The 24680-nt window shown below is 42.4% G+C and overlaps 1 protein-coding gene and 1 pseudogene across 1 annotated transcript; one reads left to right on the forward strand and one right to left on the reverse strand.

Annotated features, from left to right (window-relative positions):
- Window positions 12195–12701, forward strand: WBP1LP3 (WBP1L pseudogene 3; annotated as a pseudogene).
- OR4F21 (olfactory receptor family 4 subfamily F member 21) lies at window positions 23169–24107 on the reverse strand. Its single transcript, NM_001005504.1, has one exon. It carries the CDS (start codon window positions 24105–24107, stop codon window positions 23169–23171), a length of 939 nt encoding a protein of 312 aa, NP_001005504.1.
- Between the last annotated feature and the right edge of the window lie 573 nt (window positions 24108–24680).

Below are 24680 nucleotides of genomic sequence, written 5' to 3' on the forward strand. Positions count from 1 at the left end.
GGGAAAATGTCATAGGAATTTTGATAGAGATTGCATTCAATATGTACATCACTTTGGATAGTATGGACATTTCAAACATATTACTTTTTCCAATCCATGAACATGATATATCTTTCCATTTATTTGTGGCTTCTTCAATTGTTTTCATCAATGTTTTGTAGTTTTCAGTGTAAAGATCATTCACCTCTTTGTTTAAATTTACATCTAAGTATTTTTTGTTGCTATTATAAATAGGATTGTTTTCTTGATTTCTTTTTTTGTATAGTTTGTTGTTGATGTGTAGAAATGCTACTGAATTTTGTATGTTCACATTGTATCCTGCAACTTTACTAAATTCATTTATGAATTCTAAATTTTTTGGCAGAGTTATTGGTGTTTTCTATATATAAGATCATGTCAACTGCAAACAGAAACAATTTAACTTCTTCCTTTCCAATTTTCATGCCTTTTATTTCTTTCTTTTGCCTAATTGCTCTGGCTAGGACATCCAGTACTATGTTGAATAGAAGTTCTGAGAGTGGGCACCCTTGTATGAAGTTTTCCACAACATCTCTTATCTTTTTATTAGCTATATATTAATACGGATGTTTCTTCTTCATCAGGAGTTTGAAAAATATGTCTTTTCTCTATATTGTTCTTAATCAGTCTTCCTAGAAGTATTTCAATTTCAAAAAGTAGCAACAACTGTGGGAGTTCAGTCAGGCTGGTGGGAAAAATTTTAAAGATAGTTATAAGAAATCGACACAAACCTTCATGGAAGGCTGGGGGTGTTGTATAGCTTCAGTAATAGATCTGAATGAAGGCGGCCTAATCCTTCCTTGAGTAAATAGCTTAAAGTAGGTGCAAAGGAATGTAAGGGAGTTTATCTAAATAACTTGTTTACTCATGTGGTCCTGAAGCCAACCTTTGATCATTCACAGGCAGGATGGCTCTCTCTCGGGGGAGGGTGACCAGGTTAATTACCCTCTATTTGTGTTGACTAAAAGCCCCTGTCATTTAATGTTTTTTCAATAAATGCTGGCAGGGCTAGCTAGTCAGGGCTGGTGGCTGCCAGAACTCTTTCTGTGCACGGCCCAGCCCCCTAGCGGCTCTTTCACTGAATAATTGGTGTCTGAGTACATTATTCATCCCTCGTGCAGCTGGGGTCTGCAGGACAGACCCCCACAAACAACAATTTGCAAAAGCAAACTTCCCTGTTTTGTTTTTTTCCAAAGATGATAAATTAGAGGCTTTTAGTATGCCTCGGCCACTTAGAAATAGCAAGAGAGTGCACAAAGGTCAACTCTGTGAGCTCTAAGTCAAGAAGGAAAATGGGAATCCACCAGAATCATGAAGGACATCATAGATCCCAAGAAGGAGAATGTGAGCAAACAGTCAACATGACAGCAACCAGCTTATAAAAGTGAGCGAAGTCCTAGTATGTGAGAGAGGCAGAGAGCCTCCCTCTGTAACTGACATTTTCACTGTGAATCTGAGCAACCCCAGCCAAGTTGTTGCATTTTGTTTCTCCCAAGGCCTGGAGTCAACATGGGGAGAGGCTTGGAGATGCTGTGAAGCAAAGACACTGGGAACAGCTGCAGACATTTTCCCAGACCAGGAAGTAAGAGCAAGATGCCATTTTCAATCTGGATGCATGCAAAGTCAGCTTTTTTTTTTCTTTTTGTGACCCAGCAGAATGCCTGCACAGGCATTTTAGTCTCAGGCCAAAGATTGGAACAACTGCTTTGGGGCTTGGTAGGGACCTTCACAGCCATATTGTGGAAAACACCTCAGCAGTATGTGCTGGAATTGTGCTTTCCCCCATCGCAGCCTCAGGGCAACAGAAAAGCTGCTACAGCTGTAATTTCTCCCAGGTGATGAAACTTGCAGCCAGGGCCAGCTTGGAGACCTACAACCAGTCTGCAGGTGTCATTGCTGGGTGCCCCAGCCTGTTCCCCTGAGAATGTGATACAGCAGGGCTTTCTCTGCTTCACCCCCAGGCAGAAATTCAGGCATTGGAGCACCTGTCTACCTGGACCAGCATCCTGAGCTACCCCACCGTTTATAAACATAGGTTGTGGTGCAGTGGGGCCCTCTCCAGTCTATGGCCAGGCAGATTTCCAGGTATGTGGAGTACCCACTTGACTGGATCAGCAGCCTGAGCTTCCCCAACCTTCCTGTGCTGAGATTATAGTGCAGTGAGGCCCTCTCATCTCCACACATAGGCAGACCTCCAAGCAATTAGAGCACCTGCTCCTATGGAGAACTTAAATTTACAATAAAAAAAAAAAACATCAAAAATTGGCCAAAGGACATGAACAGACAATTCTCAAAAGAAGACATGGATGTGGCCAACAAACATATGAAAAAAAGCTCAAATCACTGATCATTAGAGAAATGCAACTCAAAACCACAATGAGATACTATCTCAAACCAGTCTTAATGGTGATTATCAAAAACTCCAGAAACAACAGTTGCTGGTAAGGCTGTGGAGAAATAGGAATGTTTTTACACTGTTTGTGGGAATGTAAATTAGTTCATTCACTGTGGAAGGCAGTGTGAAAATTCCTCAAAGATCTACAACCAGAAATGCCATTTGCCCCAGCAATCCCTTTACTGGATATATGCCCAAAGGAATATAAATCATTCTATTATAAAGATACATGCACAGGGCTGGGTGCAGTGGCTCACACCTGTAATCCCAGCACTTTGGGAGGCCAAGGCGGGTGGATAACCTGAGGACAGGAGTTTGAGACCAGCCTAGCCAACATGGGGAAACTCCATCTCTACTAAAAATACAAAAATTAGCCAGGTATAGTGGTGCACACCTGTAATACCAGCTACTTTGGAGGCTGAGGCAGGAGAATCGCTGGAACCCAGGAGGCAGAGGTCAAAGTGAGCCAAGATCATACCATTGCACTCCAGCCTGGGCAACAAGAGCAAAACTCCATCTCAAAAAAATATATATATATACATATACATACATATATATACACATATATATACATATATACAGATATTATATATGTAAATGTATATATATGTGTATATATATACACACATATATATACACATATATATACATATTATAACTACATATATATACACACACACATACATATACATGCACACATATGTTTATTGCAGCACTATTTACGATAGAAAATACATGGAATCAACCCAAATGCCCATCAATGATATATTGGATAAAGAAAATGTGATATATATTCACCATGGAATACTATGCAGCCGTTAAAATAAATGAGATCATGTTCTTTGCAGGGACATGGATGAAGCTGGAAGCCATCACCCTCAGCAAACTAACACAGGAACAGAAAACCAAACACCACATGTTCTCAGTCGTAAGAGGGAGTTGAACAATGAGAGCAAACACATGGATACATGGAGGGGAACAACACACACCAGGGCCTCTCAGGGGGACAGGGGGTAGGAGACCATCAGGACAAACACGTGGATACATGGAGGGGAACAACACACACCAGGGCCTCTCAGGGGGACAGGGGGAAGGAGACCATCAGGACAAACACGTGGGTACATGGAGGGGAACAACACACACCAGGGCCTCTCAGGGGGACAGGGGGTAGGAGACCATCAGGACAAACACGTGGATACATGGAGGGGAACAACACACACCAGGGCCTCTCAGGGGGACAGGGGGTAGGAGACCATCAGGACAAACAAGTGGGTACATGGAGGGGAACAACACACACCAGGGCCTCTCAGGGGGACAGGGGGTAGGAGACCATCAGGACAAACACGTGGGTACATGGAGGGGAACAACACACACCAGGGCCTCTCAGCGGGACAGGGGGTAGGAGACCATCAGGACAAACACGTGGGTACATGGAGGGGAACAACACACACCAGGGCCTCTCAGCGGGACAGGGGGTAGGAGACCATCAGGACAAACACGTGGGTACATGGAGGGGAACAACACACACCAGGGCCTCTCAGGGGGACAGGGGGTAGGAGACCATCAGGACAAACACGTGGGTACATGGAGGGGAACAACACACACCAGGGCCTCTCAGCGGGACAGGGGGTAGGAGACCATCAGGACAAACACGTGGGTACATGGAGGGGAACAACACACACCAGGGCCTCTCAGCGGGACAGGGGGTAGGAGATCATCAGGACAAACACGTGGGTACATGGAGGGGAACAACACACACCAGGGCCTCTCAGGGGGACAGGGGGTAGGAGACCATCAAGACAAACACGTGGATACATGGAGGGGAACAACACACACCAGGGCCTCTCAGGGGGACAGGGGGTAGGAGACCATCAGGACAAACACGTGGGTACATGGAGGGGAACAACACACACCAGGGCCTCTCAGGGGGACAGGGGGTAGGAGACCATCAGGACAAACACGTGGATACATGGAGGGGAACAACACACACCAGGGCCTCTCAGCGGGACAGGGGGTAGGAGACCATCAGGACAAACACGTGGGTACATGGAGGGGAACAACACACACCAGGACCTCTCAGCGGGACAGGGGGTAGGAGACCATCAGGACAAACACGTGGGTACATGGAGGGGAACAACACACACCAGGGCCTCTCAGGGGGACAGGGGGTAGGAGACCATCAGGACAAACACGTGGATACATGGAGGGGAACAACACACACCAGGGCCTCTCAGGGGGACAGGGGGTAGGAGACCATCAGGACAAACACGTGGGTACATGGAGGGGAACAACACACACCAGGGCCTCTCAGGGGGACAGGGGTAGGAGACCATCAGGACAAACACGTGGGTACATGGAGGGGAACAACACACACCAGGGCCTCTCAGGGGGACAGGGGGTAGGAGACCATCAGGACAAACACGTGGGTACATGGAGGGGAACAACACACACCAGGGCCTCTCAGCGGGACAGGGGGTAGGAGACCATCAGGACAAACACGTGGGTACATGGAGGGGAACAACACACACCAGGGCCTCTCAGCGGGACAGGGGGTAGGAGACCATCAGGACAAACACGTGGGTACATGGAGGGGAACAACACACACCAGGGCCTCTCAGGGGGACAGGGGGTAGGAGACCATCAGGACAAACACGTGGGTACATGGAGGGGAACAACACACACCAGGGCCTCTCAGGGGGACAGGGGTAGGAGACCATCAGGACAAACACGTGGATACATGGAGGGGGACAACACACACCAGGGCCTCTCAGGGGGACAGGGGGTAGGAGACCATCAGGACAAACACGTGGATACATGGAGGGGGACAACACACACCAGGGCCTCTCAGGGGGACAGGGGGTAGGAGACCATCAGGACAAACACGTGGATACATGGAGGGGAACAACACACACCAGGGCCTCTCAGGGGGACAGGGTGTAGGAGACCATCAGGACAAATAGCTAATGCATGCAGGACCTCATACCTAGGTGATGGGTTGATGGGTGAAGCAAACCACCATGGCACACATTTACCTATGTATCAAACCTATACTTTCTGCACGTGTATCCCAGAACATGAAATAAAATTTAAAAAATATATACACTGATTCATGATCTCCTTTCTCTCCTTCTGAAACACTCTTTAAAACTTTTTAGCATTTCCCCCTCTGTCTTCCATGTCTCCTAACTACATGTTTCTTATTTTCCATGTCTTTATTCCTGTGTTCATTTTGGATAGCCCCTTCTCACCTATATTACAGTTTACTAGTTCACTCTTCAACTGCTTCTAACATACTAATATTCTGTTAAAACCATTCATTTGGGTTTAAATTTCAATTATGTTATTCTCTATGGACATTCTATTTGTTTTCTTTTAATCTTCTTGGCCATTCTCTAGAGTTTCCTGTTCCATTATGATATTTTTAATTTTTTGTTTTACTTTAAACATACTAAATATAGTTATTTTATTTTATTTTCTGTATCTGATACTTTCTTTTTTTTTTTTTTTTTTTTTTTTTTTTTAAATTTATTTTTTTATTGATAATTCTTGGGTGTTTCTCACAGAGGGGGATTTGGCAGGGTCATGGGACAATAGTGGAGGGAAGGTCAGCAGATAAACAAGTGAACAAAGGTCTCTGGTTTTCCTAGGCAGAGGACCCTGCGGCCTTCCGCAGTGTTTGTGTCCCTGATTACTTGAGATTAGGGATTGGTGATGACTCTTAACGAGCATGCTGCCTTCAAGCATCTGTTTAACAAAGCACATCTTGCACCGCCCTTAATCCATTTAACCCTGAGTGGACACAGCACATGTTTCAGAGAGCACAGGGTTGGGGGTAAGGTCACAGATCAACAGGATCCCAAGGCAGAGGAATTTTTCTTAGTGCAGAACAAAATGAAAAGTCTCCCATGTCTACTTCTTTCTACACAGACACGGCAACCATCCGATTTCTCAATCTTTTCCCCACCTTTCCCGCCTTTCTATTCCACAAAGCCGCCATTGTCATCCTGGCCCGTTCTCAATGAGCTGTTGGGCACACCTCCCAGACAGGGTGGTGGCCGGGCAGAGGGGCTCCTCACCTCCCAGTAGGGGCGGCCGGGCAGAGGCGCCCCTCACCTCCCGGACGGGGCGGCTGGCCGGGCAGGGGGGCTGACCCCCCCCACCTCCCTCCTGGACGGGGCGGCTGGCCGGGCGGGGGGCTGACCCCCCAACCTCCCTCCCGGACGGGGCGGCTGGCCGGGCGGGGGGCTGACCCCCCCACCTCCCTCCCGGACGGGGCGGCTGGCCGGGCAGAGGGGCTCCTCACTTCCCAGTAGGGGCGGCCGGGCAGAGGCGCCCCTCACCTCCCGGACGGGGCGGCTGGCCGGACGGAGGGCTGACCCCCCCACCTCCCTCCCGGACAGGGCGGCTGGCCGGGCGGGGGGCTGACCCCCCCATCTCCCTCCCGGACGGGGTGGCTGGCCGGGCTGAGGGGCTCCTCACTTCCCAGTAGGGGCGGCCGGGCAGAGGCGCCCCTCACCTCCCGGACGGGGCGGCTGGCCGGGCGGGGGGCTGACCCCCCCACCTCCCTCCCGGATGGCACGGCTGGCCAGGCGGGGGGCTGACCCCCCCACCTCCCTCCCGGATGGCACGGCTGGCCGGGCGGGGGGGCTGACCCCCCACCTCCCTCCCGGATGGGGCGGCTGGCCGGGCGGGGGGCTGACCCCCCCCCACCTCCCTCCCGGACGGGGTGGCTGCCGGGCGGAGACGCTCCTCACTTCCCAGATGGGGTGGCTGCCGGGCGGAGAGGCTCCTCACTTCTCAGACGGGGCAGCTGCCGGGCGGAGGGGCTCCTCACTTCTCAGACGGGGTGGTTGCCAGGCAGAGGGTCTCCTCACTTCTCAGACGGGGCGGCCGGGCAGAGACGCTCCTCACCTCCCAGACGGGGTCTCGGCCGGGCAGAGGCGCTCCTCACATCCCAGATGGGGCGGCGGGGCAGAGGCGCTCCCCACATCTCAGACGATGGGCGGCCGGGCAGAGACGCTCCTCACTTCCTAGATGTGATGGCGGCTGGGAAGAGGCGCTCCTCACTTCCTAGATGGGATGGCGGCCGGGCGGAGACGCTCCTCACTTTCCAGACTGGGCAGCCAGGCAGAGGGGCTCCTCACATCCCAGACGATGGGCGGCTAGGCAGAGACACTCCTCACTTCCCAGACGGGGTGGCAGCCGGGCAGAGGCTGCAATCTCGGCACTTTGGGAGGCCAAGGCAGGCGGCTGCTCCTTGCCCTCGGGCCCCGCGGGGCCCGTCCGCTCCTCCAGCCGCTGCCTCCCGGGCGGCGCTCGCCGGCGCGGCGGCAAAGACTGAGACAGCTCCGCTGCCCGCTGAACTCCATCCTCCCGGCGGTCGGGCGGCGGCGGCTGCCCTAAGTGATCTTTTTAAGTAAAGGAGAAACTCACCAGGGTATAGCTGTGCCCCCAGCATAACAGGTAACACCTGAGTCAGTCTTGCCTCCCATGTCAGGAGGGCTCTTGTATCTGATACTTTCAATAACTGCAGTCTTTGCTAGTCTTTTTTCTGTGCTCTTGCTCATAGTTTTTTTCATTTGTTTTCATGATTAGAAAAACAGAGAGAGAAGAAGGAGAGTAAAGGTAGGAGGAGGAGGAGGAGAAAAGAAGAAAGCAGAGAAGAAGGGACAGACAAAAAAAGGAAGTTGGTTCTAACGTTTCTCTAACAACTGGCTTCAGTGAAACACTCCCACCTTGTGGATTTTTAGGTTATTGAAATTAACCAGTCTTCTGGGTGCAGCACACCAACATGGCACATGTATACATATGTAACAAACCTGCACTTTGTGCACATGTACCCTAAAACTTAAAGTATAACAAAAAATAACATAAAAAGCTACACAAATTTAAAAAAAAGAAATCAACCTAATTCCTAGATTACCACCTATTGATTCAAATGCTTTAAATCTAGGCTTTTCATCTGAGTCTTTCTTTTTAGTTATTCTGTTTATCTTCAAAACACTCCTGCTTTGAATCATTCAAAATCTACCTCCCTCCCTCTGTTTGACTACCATCAATTTTTTTGCTCATTCCTAATGCATTAATCTATTAGCTGTGAATATCCAAAAACCCTCATTTCACTGAATCTTTGACAGACCCCTTTGCATCCTCTTGTTCTTCTAATTATTTCCTCAGAAACTTTATGTTCTCTTTTCTTTACAAGCATGTCATAGTTTATATATAATGTGTGTATTGTTTTTATATATACCTATATATAGCCTCTTTTTAAAAGCACTATACACCATGCTTTGAAATATATTCTAAAATCAGGTAGCATGAAAATGGAAACATAACATACTAAAACATATGGGATGCAACAAAAGCAGTTATAAGAGGGACATTTATAGCAATAAATGCCTACATCAAAAAAGAAAAAAAAGATCTCAAATAAGCAACCTAATATTATGCCTAAAGGAGCGAGAAAATTAGAGAACAATACAAGCCCAAAGATAGCAGAAGGAAACAAATAACAAAGATCAGAGCAGAAATAATATAATAGAAACTGAAAATTTCAATAAAAATAAGAATTGTTTTTTGAAAAGATAAACAAAATTAACAAATTCTTACATAGACTAAGAAAAAAGAAAACAAACTCAGAAGTGAAAGAAGAGACATTACAACTGATACCACAGAAGTTAAAAAATCATAACATACTACTATAAACAATTATTCACCAGCAAATTAGATAACCTAGAAGAAATTGATAAACTCGTACCAAAACTGAATCATGAAGAATTCAAAATTTAGAAGAAATCATGAATAAGGAAATTAAATCACCAATGAAAGGTCTCTCATAAAAGAAAGACCCAGGATTGAATGGCTTGGTGGCTGAATTCCAACAAACACTTAGATGACTAACACCAATCCTTCCCAAACTCTTCCAAAAAAAGTGAAGAAGAGGAATACTTCCAAATTCATTTTTCAAAACCAGCATTACCCTGATACCAAAACCAGAGAAGGACACTATAATAAAAATAAATTGCAGACCAATACTCCTGATGAACTTGGATGGAAAAACCTTCAGCCAAATATTAGCAAATATTATTTTTAAAAAAACACAGCAAAAAAATTCACCATGCTTAAGTGGGATTCATCCCTGGGAAGCTTATTAGTCTTATTTGATTCGTGTAATCAGAAAATTTCTATGTCTAGTGAAGAGAAATGAGAGCAATAGAGACTCATAGCACCTCAACAAATGTCCAGGCTTGAGCCAGTTAACAAATACAAGTCCTTCAAATACAAAAAAGACTGTGAAAGAAAATAGAACAGATCAATGAAACTAAGAATTTGTTCTTTGAAAAGATAAAACTGACAAACCATTAGCTAGACTAGAAAAATGAGAGAATACTCAAAGCAATAAAATCAGAAATGAAAGAGGAAATATTGCAACTAATACCACAGAAATACAGAGGATCATAAGAGGCCACTATAAACAATTACAAGCCAACAAATTGGATAACCTAGAAAAAGCAGATAAATTTCTAGAAAAATGCAACTTACCTAGAGAAAGTCAAGAAGAAAGATAAAATCTGAACAGAACAATACTGAGTATGGAGAGTATATCAATAATAAAACATCTCCCATCAAAGAACATCCCAGGACCAGAAAACTTCATTGCTGAATTCTAACATTTTAAAAAATAATAATACAATCCTTCTGAAATTCTTCCAAAAACTTGAAGGAGAAAGAGTGTTTCCAAACTCATTTTAAAAGATCAGCATTATTGTTTTTTTTTTAAAGTGATGTTCCCCTTCCTGTGTCCATGTGTTCTCATTGTCCAATTCCCACCTATGAGTGAGAACATGCAGTGTTTGGTTTTTTGTCCTTGTGATTGTTTGCTGAGAATGATGGTTTCCAGCTTCATCCATGTCCCTACAAAGGACATGAACTCATCATTTTTTATGGCTGCATAGTATTCCATGGTGTATATGTGCCACATTTTCTTAATCCAGTCTATCATTGTTGGACATTTGGATTGGTTCCAAGTCTTTGCTATTGTGAATAGTGCCACAGTAAACATACGTGTGCATGTGTCTTTATAGCAGCATGATTTATAGTCCTTTGGGTATATACCCAGTAATGGGATGGCTGGGTCAAATGGTATTTCTAGTTCTAGATCCCTGCGGAATCGCCACACTGTCTTCCACAATGGTTGAACTAGTTTACAGTCCCACCAACAGTGTAAAAATGTTCCTATTTCTCCACATCCTCTCCAGCACCTGTTGTTTCCTGACTTTTTAATGATGGCCATTCTAACTGGTGTAAGATGGTATCTCATTGTGGTTTTGATTTGCATTTCTCTGATGGCCAGTGATAGTGAGCATTTTTTCATGTGTTTTTTGGCTGCATAAATGTCTTCTTTTGAGAAGTGTCTGTTCATATCCTTTGCCCACTTTTTGATGGGGTTGTTTGTTTTTTTCTTGTAAATTTGTTTGGGTTCATTGTAGATTCCGGATATTAGCACTGGGGCCTGTTGTGGGGTGGGGGGAGGGGGGAGGGATAGCATTAGGAGATATACCTAATGTTAAATGATGAGTTAATGGGTGCAGCACACCAGCATGGCACATGTATACATATGTAACTAACCTGTACGTTGTGCACATGTATCCTAAAACTTAAAGTATAATTTAAAAAATAAATAAATAAAAATAAAAATAAAAAGGCAAACAAGGACACTATAAGAAAAGTATGGGCCAACCAATATCCCTGATGAACACAGATACAAAAGTCCTCAAAAAAAAGTACTAGCAAACAGAATTTAACAACATATTAGGAGAACATTTACCATGATAAAGTGGATTTATCCTCCAGATGTTTCAGCAAACACAAATCAAATGTGATAAACCACATTAACAGAATGAAGGATAAAAAAATAGCTATCTCTATATATGCAGAAAAAGCATTTGACTAAATTCAAAATCCTCTCATGACTAAACCTCTCAACAAATTGGGCATAGAAGGCATGTACCTTAACACAAAACAGGACATATATAACAAGCTCACAGCTCACATCATACCCAACAATGAAAAAGTGAAATCTTTTCTGCTAAGATCAAAAACAAGACAAGGATATTTATTCTCACTACTTCTATTCAACTTATTTCTGGAAGTCCTAGCCAGAGCAATTAAGCCAAATAAAGAAATAAAAGATTCAAATTGAAAAGGAAGAAGTAAAATTGTCTCTGTTTGATGACATATTATATATAGGAAACCCTAAAAACTCCACCAAAAAGCTATTAGAAATGATAAATGAATTCAATAAAATTTCAGAATTCAAAATCAATGTACAAAACTCAGTAGTTTCTTTACACTCACAACAAACTATATGACAAAAATAAAGAAATCAATCTCATTCACAGTAGCATCAAAAAAAACGTATTTTTTTTGTTTAGGAGCACATTTAGGATTGTACTTAGGAGTACATTTAACCAAGGAGGTGAAAGATCTGTATTCTGAACACTATAAAACATTGATGAAAAATTGTAGATGACACAAATACATGGAAAGATAGTTTATGTTCATGGGTAGGAAGAATTAATATTCTTAAAATGTCCTTACTGCCCAAAGCGATTTATAGGTTTAATGCAATATTTATCAAAATTTCAATGTCATTCTTCACAGAAATAGAAAAAACAATTTGAAAATTTATATGGAACCACAAAGGATCCTGAATAACTAAAGGACTCTTGAGCAATAAGAACAAAGCTGAAGGCCTCACAATCTGACTTCAAAACATATTACAGGAAAAGAACAAAAGAAGGAAGAAGAGGGTAGAGGAGAAGTGCAGCAAGGGTGGAGGGAGGTGCCCACGCTGGGTCGGAGGAGCAGGAGGAGTATGGAGGGAAGACTCCTGGGTGGCATGGAGCTCTTGCACCTCTAGGCACTGCCCAGCCCTGTGTCAGCCAGGGCTGAACCCCCAAAGGATAAGGAAGCCTGTGTGTGTACCAACAATCAAAGCTACATCTGTGACACAACAGGACACTGCTATGGGCAGTCTCAGTGTTGTAACTACTACTATGAACATTGGTGGTTCTGGCTGGCATGGACCATCACCATCATCCTGAGCTGCTGCTGTGTCTGCCACCACAGCCAAGCCAGCCCTCAAGTCCAGCAGTAGCAACATGAAATCAACCTGACTGCCTATCCAGAAGCCCGCAATTACTCAGTGCTACCATTTTATTTCACCAAACTATTTATTACCTTCTTATGAGGAAGTGGTGAACTAACCTCCACCTGTTTCCCTCCCTGTCTGTCCATTGTGGATGAGCTCTGAGCCCTGTTTTCCTGTGAAGATTCTTTGAATTGCAGCCATTCTATTCACATGAACTCTCACATCTGGAGCACAGATGGCCCTCTCAAGGTAATTTATTGTATGCATTGACTGTTTACCAAACAAATGTCTTACTATGTACTCAGGTATATTCAGCAGCATTGTCGACTGCAGTCCCCTATGCTTGCCAGAAGATACTGTATTCAAAGTAGAAGTTTCACAGTGATGAGTAATCACTGCAATTTTCCCATTGCTCCATGGACTCTCGGAGGCCGGTGTTCTGTTCCCTGTAAATAGAGATGTACTCTGAACCTTTCTGCCTCCCTCAGCTGTTCCTAGTCCTTGGTATCAGCCCCTGGAGATGTCCACAACCACTTAGGACAAAAGGCAAAAGTGGAATTTCAGACAAAACTTTGATAGGATCTTCAGTGATAAACTTGGACTAACTGTGGCCCAGGTATCAGCACTCCCAAGAATTGCCAGGAGGAAGCTTTGGCAGACACCACAGGTATGGCAAGGCCTATCTCCCTCTGCTGAATCCAACAGGGGCAAGCAAGCTGGCATGTGGCTTGAGGTGACCCGAATATGTCAGCACCCCTCAGATGTCTTTCTTTGCACTTTTGAAAAAAATCTCAGAATTTGCTGGCAACATGGCCAAATAGGAACAGCTCCAGTCTGCAGCTCCCAGTGAGATCAATGCAGAATGCAGGTGATTTCTGCATTTCCAACTGAGGTACCTGGTTCATCTCACTGGGACTGGTTGGACAGTGGGTGCAGCCCACGGAGGGTGAGCCAAAGCAGAATGGGGCGTTGCCTCACCCAGGAAGTGCAAGGGGTTGGGGGAATTCCCTCCCCTAGCCAAGGGAAGCCCCGAGGGACTGTACCATGAGGAACGGTGCACTCCACCCAGAAACTATGCTTTTCTCATGGTCTTCACAATCGACAGACCAGGAGATTCCCTCCAGTGCCTCTGCCACCAAGGCCCTAGGTTTCAAGCACAAAACTAGGCAGCTGTTTGGGTAGACACCGAGCTAGCTGCAGGAGGTTTTTTTTTTTTCATGCCACAGTGGCAACTGGAATGCCAACAAGACAGAACCATTCTCTCTCCTGGAAAGGGGGCTGAAGCCAGGGAGCCAAGTGGTCTGGCTCGGCGGGTCCCACCCCTACAGAGCCCAGCAAGCTAAGATCCACTGGCTTGAAATTCTTGCACAGCAGTCTGAGGTTGACCTAGGACACTAGAGCTTGGTGGGGGGAGAGGCTTCCACATTGCCAAGGCTTGAGTAGGCAGTTTTACCCCCACTGTGTAAACAAAGCCACCAGAAAGTTTGAACTGGGTGGAGCCCACCACAACTCAGCAAGGCCACAGCAGCCAGACTGCCTCTCTAGATTTCTCCTCTCTGGGCAAGGCATCTCTGAAAAAAGGGCAGCAGCCCCAGTCAGAGACCTATAGATAAAACCCCCATCTCCCTGGAACAGAGCACCTAGGGGAAAGGGCGGCTGTGGGCACAGCTTCAGCAGACTTAAAGCATCTTTGAAAAGCCTGATGGCTCTGAAGAGAGCAGCAGATCTCCCAGCACAGTATTCGAGCTCTGATAAGGGTCAGACTGCCTCCTCAAGTGGGTCCCTGACCCCCGTGTATCCTGACTGGGAGACACCTCCCAGTAGGTGCCAACAGGCACCTCATACAGGAGAGCTCTGGCTGGCATCTGGTGGGTGCCCCTCTGGGACAAAACTTCCAGAGGAAGAAACAGGCAGCAATCTTGGCTGTTCTCCAGCCTCTGCTGGTGATACCCAGGCAAACAGGGTCTAGAGTAGACCTAGGGCAAACCCCAACAGACCTGCAGCAGAGGGGCCTGACTGTTAGAAGGAAAACTAACAAACAAAAAGGAATAGCATCAACATCAACAAAAAGGACAGCCACTCAGTGACCCCATCAGAAGGTCACCAACATCAGAAACCACAGGTAGATAAATCCATGAAGATGGAGAGAAACCAGAGCAAAAAGGCTGAAAATTCCAAAAACCAGAACGCCTCTTCTCCTCCAAAGTATCACAACTCCTCACCAGCAAGGGAACAAAAGAAAACTGGACAGAGAATGAGTTTGACGAATTGAGAGAAGTAGGTTTCAGAAGGTAGGTAATAACAAACTCCTCCAAGCTAAAGGAGCATGTCCTAACCCAATGTAAGGAAGCTAAGGACCTGGAAAAAAGGCTAGACCACTTGCTAACTAGAATAACCAGTTTAGAGAAGAACATAAATGACCTGATGGAGCTGAAAAACACGCCATGAGAACTTCATGCAGCATGCACAAGGATCAAGCACTGATTCGGTCAAGCGGAAGAAAGATATCAGAGACTGAATATCAACTTAATGAAATAAATCAAGAAGACAAGATTAGAGAAAAAAGAATGAAAAGAAATGAACAAAGCCTCCAAGAAATATGGGACTATGTGAAACGACCAAATCTACGTTTGATTGCTGTACCTGAAAGTGATGGGGAGAATGGAACCAAGTTAGAAAACACTCTTCGGGATATTATCCAGGAGAACTTCCCTAACCTAGCAAGGCAGGCCAATATTCAAATTCAGAAATATGGAGAACATCACAAAGACACTCCTCAAGAAAAGCAACCCCAAGACACATAGTCATCAGATTGAGCAAGGTTGAAATGAAGGAAAAAATGTTAAGGGCAGCCAGAGAGAAAGGTCAGGTTACCCACAAAGGGAAGCCCATCAGACTAACAGCAGATCTATCAGCAGAAACTCTACAAGCCAGAAGAGAATGGGGGCCAATATTCAACATTCTTAAAGAAAAGAATTTTCCACCCAGGATTTCATATCCAGCCAAACTAAGCTTCATAAGTGAAGGAGAAATAAAATCCTTTACAGACAAGCAAATGCTGAGAGATTTTGTCACCACCAGGCCTGCCTTAAAGGAGCTCCTGAAGGAAGCACTAAACATGGAAAGGAACAACTGGTATCAGCCACTGCAAAAACATACCAAATTGTAAAGACCATTGACACTATGAAGAAACTGCATTAACTAACAGCAAAATAACCAGCTAGCATCGTAATGACAGGATCAAATTCACACATAACAATATCAACCTTAAATGTAAATGGGCTAAATGCTCCAATTAAAAAACACAGACTGGCAAATTGGCTAAAGAGTCAAGACCCATCAGTGTTCTGTATTCAGGAGACCCATCTCACGTGCAAAGACACAAATAGGCTCAAAATAAAGGGATGGAGGAATACTTACCAAGCAAATGGAAGGCAAAAAAAAGCAGGGGTTGCAATCCTAGTCTCTGATAAAACAGACTTTAAACCAACAAAGATCAAAAGAGACAAATAAGGGCATTGCATAATGGTAAAAGGATCAATGCAACAAGAAGAGCTAATTATCCTAAATATATATGCACCCAACACAGGAGCACCCAGATGCATAAAGTAAGCTCTTAGAGACTTAAAAAGAGACTTAGACCCTCACACAATAATAGTGGGAGACTTTAACACCCCACTGTCAATACTAGACAGATCAACGAAACAGAAAGTTAACAAGGATATCCAGGACTTGAACTCAGCTCTGGACCAAGTGGATCCAATAGACAGCTACAGAACTCTCCACCCCAAATCAACAGAATATACATTCTTCTCAGCACCACATTGCACTTATTCTAAAATTGACCACATATTTGGAAGTAAAACACTCCTCAGCAAATGCAAAAAAAAATGGGAATCATAACAGTCTCTCAGATCGCAGTGCAATTAAATTAGAACTCAGGATTAAGAAACTGACTCAAACCCACACAACTACATGTAAACTGAACAACCTGCTCCTGAACAACTACTGGGTAAATAAAGATATTAAGGCAGAAATAAATAAGTTATTTGAAACCAATGAGAACAAAGACATAACATACCAGAATCTCTGGTACACAATTATAGCAGTGTGTAGAGGGAAATTTATAGCACTAAATGCCCACAAGAGAAAGCAGGAAAGATCTAAAATTGACACCCTAACATCTCAATTAAAAGAACTCAAGAGGCAGGAGCATACAAAAAGCTAGCAGAGGACAATAAATAACTAAGATCAGAGCAGAACTGAAGGAGATAGAGACACAAAAAAACCTTCAAAAAAAAATCAATGAATCCAGGAGCTGGTTTTTTCAAAATATCAATAAAATAGATAGACCACTAGCCAGACTCATAAAGAAGAAAACAGAGAAGAATCAAACAGATGCAATAAAAAATGATAAAGGAGATACCACCACTGATCCCACAGAAATACAAACTACTATCAGAGAATACTATAAACACCTCTACACAAACTAGAAAATCTAGAAGAAATGGACAAATTCCTGGACACATACGCCCTCCCAAGACTAAACCAGGAAGAAGTTGAATCCCTGAATAGACCAATAACAAGGTCTGAAATTGTGGCAGTAATTAATAGCCTACCAACCAAAAAACAGTCCAGGACCAGATGGATTCACAGCCGAATTCTACCAGAGGTACAAAGAGGAGTTGGTACCATTCCTTCTGAAACTATTCCAAACAACAGAAAAAGAGAGAATCCTCCCTAACTCATTTTATGAGGCCAGAATAATTCTGGTACCAAAATTTGGCAGAGACACACACAAAAAAAAGAAAATTTCAAGCCAATATCCCTGATGAACATCGATGCAAAAATCCTCAATAAAATACTGGCAAACGAAATCCAGCAGCACATCAAAAGCTTGTCCACCACAATCAAGTCGGCTTCATCCCTGGGATACAAGGCTAGTTCAACATACGCAAATCAATAAACATAATTCATCATATAAATAGAACCAATGGCAAAAACCACATGCTTCTCTCAATAGATGCAGAAAAGGCCTTCGACAAAATTCAGCAGCCCTTCATGCTAAAAACTCTCAATAAACTAGGTACTGATGGAACATATCTCAAAATAATAATACCTATTTATGAAAAATCCACAGCCAATACTGAATGGTGAAAAACTGGAAGCATTCCCTTTGAAAACCAGCACAAGACAAGGATGCCCTATCTCACCACTCCTATTCAACGTAGTATTGGAAGTTCTGGCCAGGGCAATCAGGCAAGAGAAAGAAATTGTCTCTGTTTGCAGATGACATGATTGTGTATTTAGAAAACCCCATGGTCTCAGCCCAAAATCTTCTTAAGCTAATAAGCAACTTCAGAAAAGTCTCAGGATACAAAATCAATGTGCAAAAATCAAGCATTCCTATATGCAAAAAACAGACAAACAGAGAGCCAAATCATGAGTGAACTCTCCCATTCACAATTGCTACTATGAGAATAAAATACCTAGGAATCCAACTTACAAGGGATGTGAAGGACCTCTTGAAGGAGAACTACAAACCACTGCTCAAGGAAATAAGAGAGGACACAAACAAATGGAAAAACATTCCATGCTCATGGATAGGAAGAATCAATATCATGAAAATGGACATACTGCCCAAAGTTTTTATAGACTCAATGCTATCCCCATCAAGCTACCACTGACTTTGTTCACAGAATTGGAAAAAACTACTTTAAATTTCATATGGAACCAAAAATGAGCCCGCAGAGCTAGGACAGTCCTAAGCAAGTAGAACAAATCTGGAGGCATCACGCTGTCTGACTTCAAACTATACTACAAGCCTTCAGTAACCAAAACAGCATGGTACTGGTACCAAAACAGATATGTAGACCAATGGAACAGAACAGAGGCCTCAGAAATAACGCCACACATCTACAACTATCTGATCTTTGACAAACCTGACAAAAACAAGCAATGGGGAAACGATTCCCTTTTTAATAAATGGTGTTGGGAAAACTGGCTAGCCATATGCAGAAAACTGAAACTGGATCCCTTCCTTACACCTTACACAAAAATTAGCTCATGATGTATTAAAGACTTAAACATAAGATCTAAAACCATAAAAAACCCTAGAAGAAAACCTAGGCAATATCATTCAGTACATAGGCATGGACAAAAACTTCATGACTAAAACACCAAAAGCAATTGCAACAAAAACCAAAATAGACAAATGGGATCTAATTAAACTAAAGAGCTCCTGCACAGCAAAAGAAACTATCATCAGAGTGAACAGGCAACCTACAGAATGGGTGAAAATTTTTGCAATCTATCCATCTGACAAAGGGCTAATATCCAGAATCTACAAAGAACTTAAACAATTTACAAGAAAATAACAAACAAACCCATCAGTGGGTGAAGGATATGAACTGACATTTCTCTAAAGAAGACATTTATGCATCCAACAAACATATGAAAAAAAGCTCATCATCACTGGTCATCAGAGAAATGCATATCAAAACCACAATGAGATACCATCTCACGCCAGATAGAATGGCGATCATTAAAAAGTCAGGAAACAACAGATGCTGGAAAGGATGTGGAGAAATAAGAATGCTTTTACACTGTTGGTGGGAGTGTAAATTAGTTCAACCATTGTGGAAGACAGTGTGGTGATTCCTCAAGGTTCTAGAACTAGAAATATGATTTGACCCAGCAATCGCATTACTGGGTATATATCCAAAGGATTATAAATCATTCTACCATAAAGACACATGCATACATATGTTTATTGTGGCACTGTTCACAATAGCAAAGACTTGGAACCAACCAAAATGCCCATTCAATGATAGACTGCATAAAGAAAATGTGGCACATATACACCATGGAATACTATGCAGCCATAAAGAAGGATGAGTTCATATCCTTTTCAGGGGCATGGATGAAGCTGGAAACCATCATTCTCAGCAAACTAATCCAAGAACAGAAAACCAAATACCCGATGTTCTCACTCATAAATGGGAGTTGAACAATGAGAACACATGGACAGAGGGAGGGGAACACAACACACCGGGGCCTGTCTGGGGGTAGGGGCTAGGGGAAGGTTAGCATTGGGTTAAATACCTAATGTAGATGATGGGTTGATGGGTGCAGCAAACCACCATGGCACGTGTATACCTATGTAACAATCCTGCATGTTCTGCACATGTACCCCAGAACTTAAAATATAATTTAAAAAAAAATCTCAAACAACTCACTGAAGTGTCTCAAAGCTGAACAAGTTTTACCAAAATGAATCCTTCTCAGTTAACTGATCAAATGGATGAAACCTGACCCTCTGAAGTCTCTTTCCTGAGTTAGAGCAGGGAACTGCTCTGAGTGTTAACTGTTGGATTCACTGCAGTGTCCTACAATATTTTACAAGAAGATGAAAAGGCAACCTGCAGACCTAGGCTTGATTCCCAAGTCACAGTCTGACCCCTGCTACAGGAGGTTACCCTCCTCAGGAAGAGATAGAAATAGGGAATTTGAAGGAATAGTGAGGGGACCAGGGAGATTTGATTGAGTCTGGTTTCCAGGTGAATTAAAAGGAAGGGTGTCATCCAGGGTTTGTTGCTACAGTCAAAAGAATAAATAAATCAATGAAGAAATACCTTCATTGTCTGTGGTTTTCATGCAGATATACTCATGGAGGTTGTATCTCTCCAAAAACAGACAAATCCAAGGCTGTGAACAAGCATCCACATTTGAATTCCATTAAACCAAAATCTATGTTGAACGAAGTGAAGTCTGTACACAGCATTGCAAATGTGAACACATTCCTGTGTGAGGCACATCACCATTTGTCAGTTATTGTGAATATGTGTATTTTTAAGCAATAAGATGCAGCTGGTCAGTTTTCTGGGCAATCTTGGCGAGGCATTTCCTGTGCTGTGGTTGTTCTCTAACCACTGTGAGAAACCCAAATAAAAATCGATCCCCCCCCAAAACAAATACGTATCACAAAACCACAGTAATCAAAACAACATGACACTTGCACAAAAACAGACACATTGACCAGGGGAACATAATAAGGAACCCAGAAATAAACTCATGCATTTATGACCAAGAAATTTTTGACAAAGGTGCCCAGAAAACGTAATGAAGAATAGACATTTGTTTCAATAAATGGTGTTAAGAAAACTAGATATCCACATGCAGAAGAACATGAATGTGTATGGTGTGTATCCTTATCTCACACCATACACAAAAATCAATTCAAAATGGATTAAAGGTTTAAACATAAAACTGTAAAACTACTAGATGAAAACATAGGGGAAAAGTTCCACAATGTTGGTTTGGTCAAAGATTTCTTGGATATAACCCCCAAAGCACAGGCAACAAAAGCAAAAATATATGGGATTGCATCAAACTAAAAAGCTTCTGCACAGCAAAGGAAACAATATGGTGAAGAGACAACCTACAAGTTGTGAGAAAATATTTGCAGAGCATACATCTGATGAAAGGCTAATCTCCAAATATATAAGGGACTCAACTCAATATCAAGAAAACAAATAACCAAGTCAAAAAATGGGCAAGGTCCTAAATAGACATTTCTCAAAAAAAATACAAATGACTAACATAAAAAAAGTTTGTCATCCTAATTATCAGGGAAATGCAAATTAAAATGACAGTGAGATGCCACTTCATACCTGTTAGAATGGCTACTATCAAAATGATAAAAGATAACAAGTGTTGAAGAGGATACAGAGAAAAGGGAACCCTCGTACACTGTTGGTGGAAATGTAAATTAATACTATTATGAAAAATAGATAAAAGTTACTCAAAAAACTAAAACTAGAATTACTATATGATCCAGCAATCCCACTTCCTTGTATATATCCAAAGGAATTTAAGTCAATATGCTGAAGAGATATCTCCAGGCTCATGTTCATTGCAGCATTATTCACAATACCCAAATATGAAATCAACACAGGTGTCTATCAACTGACAAATGGATGAAGAAAATGTAGTGTATATATACAATGGAATACTACTCAGCCTTAATAGGAAGGAAAACCTGATATATGTGACAACATGAATTAACCCAGAAGATATCACGCTAAGTGAAATAAGCCAGGCACGAAAAGACAAATATCACATGATCTCACTGATATGTGGAATCTGAAAAAGTTGAATTCATAGAAGTAGAGAATGGAATGGTGATTATCAGAGGCTAGGAGTTGGGGGTAGACATGGAAAAGGTAGATGTTGATAAAAGGGTTCAAAGTTTCAGTTAGACAAAGTTTCAGTGAACTATTGCACGGAATGGTGACTGTAATAAATAACAAGGTATTGTATGTTTCAAAATGACTAACAGAGTAGATTTTAAATGTTTTCACCACAAAAAAGATATGTATGTCAATAAGACAGACCTAATCTTTCCACAATTTAAACATGTATCAAAACATTACATTGTACCCCATAGATACAATTATTATTTGTCAATTTAAAATTTTTCACTAATTTATATTGTTATTGTTGCACCAACTCCTTTCCACCAGGCAGATTCTCATAAAGACTATTTTCTCTCTTACATGAAGCATTTCCTACACACCTCTTAATCACGGTAGCATTGACATCATTCCACCAGATTCTATCTCCAGTGTTAAAATAATCAAGAACCCAGAAATCTCCACCAGGGGGCAACCAATGCGTATCAAAGTTTCCCACTTTCCTTTAGATTTACTTACGGGTAACTTATGGGAAAAAATACTTAAGTACTTCCCTTTTTAAAGAAAAAAATTATATGAATTCTACAAAATTATGGCAGAAAATTTAAGAAGAGCAGATGCTTCCCAACTCATTCTAAAGGGCCAGCATTACCCTGATTCTGAAATGAAAAAGCTTTACAAAATCCAAGATCCATTCCTGACTAAAGATAAAAGAAATTTTCAGCAAACTGTGAATACAGAAAACTTTCTCAGCCTGTTAAAGAGTACCTATGAAAAAAATTATAGCTAACATTATACTTAATGATGAAATATTTAATATATTTCATAACAGGAACAAGTCAAAGATGTCTGCTCTAACTAATTCTACTCAGCATTCAACAAAATGAATATAGTGAATTCATACTAGAATTTTAAAAGCAAATGTCTTTATTCACTGACAACATAATCATCTATAAAGAAAATCCTACATAACCTATAAAAAACTGATGGAACTAATAAGTTTTGCAAGTTTACAGGATATAATGTCAAACAAAGATCTATTATGTGCCCATAAGCTAAGAATAAACAATTGTAAATTGAAATAAAAATGTCACTTAAAAGAGCATCAGAAATATAAAACTTAGAGATAAATATAAAGTACATATGCATAAAGTACCTGTTCACCAAAAACTACAAAACATTGCTGAAAGAAATTAAATGGGCATAATATAGATGTAGAGATGTGTTGAATTTATGACTCATTTTGAACAAGGAATATATTCATCATATATTCATCAGATAAGAATTATGTTACAGGTCTAATAACATTCAAATCAATACATAATGTCTCATAGTTCCTGAATCTAAAATATCAAAGAAAGAAACATAAAGCCATATCATGTTTAACGAGAAGGGCTTATTGTATCATTTATGAGATCTTCTTGTAAATCACTAGCTGTTTGCATACTCTCTTTATTGCTGCCTTCATCTCCTTATTCCTGAATGTATAGACAACTGGATTCAGAAAAGGAGTGAGAACTGCATCAAAAATAGCCAGAAACTTGTCCATCTGTGAATTAGGGTGTGGCCGTGTATACACAAACATGGGTGGACCAAAGAACAAAAGGACCACTGTGCTGTGAGCTGAAAGAGTGGAAAGGGCCTTGGATGAACCACCTGAGGAATGTTTCCAAACAGTAAACAGGATGAAGACGTAGGAGATTAGAAGTATGAAGAAAGTACCCACACAGATAAACCCACTGTTAACAGTGACCATGAACTGCAATCTGTAGGTGTCGGTACAGGCTAGTCTGAGAAGCCGAGGAAGGTCACAGTAGAAGCTGTCCAACACATTAGGGCCACAGAAGGCTAAATTAACAAGAAATGCCAGTTGGAACAGGGAGTGACTGACACCAAGGGTCCAGGCAACAGCCAGAAATGAAAGGCACATTCTTGGGCTCATAATGGTCAGATAGTGGAGGGGCTTACATAGGGCCACATATCTGTCAAAGGCCATGGCTATGAGCAGCACCATCTCCACACCACCAATGACGTGGATGAAGAAGATTTGAGCGATGCAGCCTCCAAAGGAGATGACTTTGCGCTTTCTGAACAGGTCATAAATCATCTTGGGAGAAGTGACAGAGCAGGCTCCTAAGTCAATGAAGGAGAGACTGGCCAGTAGAAAGTACATGGGGGAGTGTAAGTGAGGGTCAGTGGTCACAGAAAACACAATGAAGATGTTTCCAGTAATGCTTGCCACATAGAGCACAGAGGAAAACACTAGGAGGAGGAGCTGGATCTCCCATGAATGAGTGAGTCCCAGAAACAAAAACTCAGATACCACTGAGTGATTCTCTCCATCCATTGGTCCAGCCAACTGGGCTGTGGCTAAAATTATGAGAACTAAGAAAATGGGGAGGAAATTGTGATTATGAAGATAATAATATGTACTAAAATCAATATTGCAATGTCACTATGAATAAATAGTATACAGTTATTCTGTTCCTCACATATTAAAAACAAAAAATCAACATAATATTATCACAACATGTGAGCTGCAACCTGATTTAAACCCCTCATCAATACTTTCAGTGTAATGTCTGATCTAAAATTAACAGATTAGGTAAGAACAAGATTCCTGACTATCCATGAAATTCATCAGGTGTTTAAATGACCTGTGATATTAACTATTCCTCATTTCCAACATATTCCATTTGTACTTATACATATTCTTATAATTTCCTTCCCTTCCCAGTTTGCACCCACAATTCTCTGACAGAAAGTAGACATAAGAGGAAAACATGATTAACAGATGGATTATCACTGCAGTAAGAGGTGCCTGGGACGGACTTAGTTGAGGTAGGCTGTGGATTGAGAGAATATAGAGACTGGGGTATGTGAAATCGGAAAGCCCACAACTGTAGCAGACTAGAGTAAG

This window comes from Homo sapiens, chromosome 8, assembly GCF_000001405.40.
Source record: "Homo sapiens chromosome 8, GRCh38.p14 Primary Assembly".
NCBI lineage: Eukaryota > Metazoa > Chordata > Mammalia > Primates > Hominidae > Homo > Homo sapiens.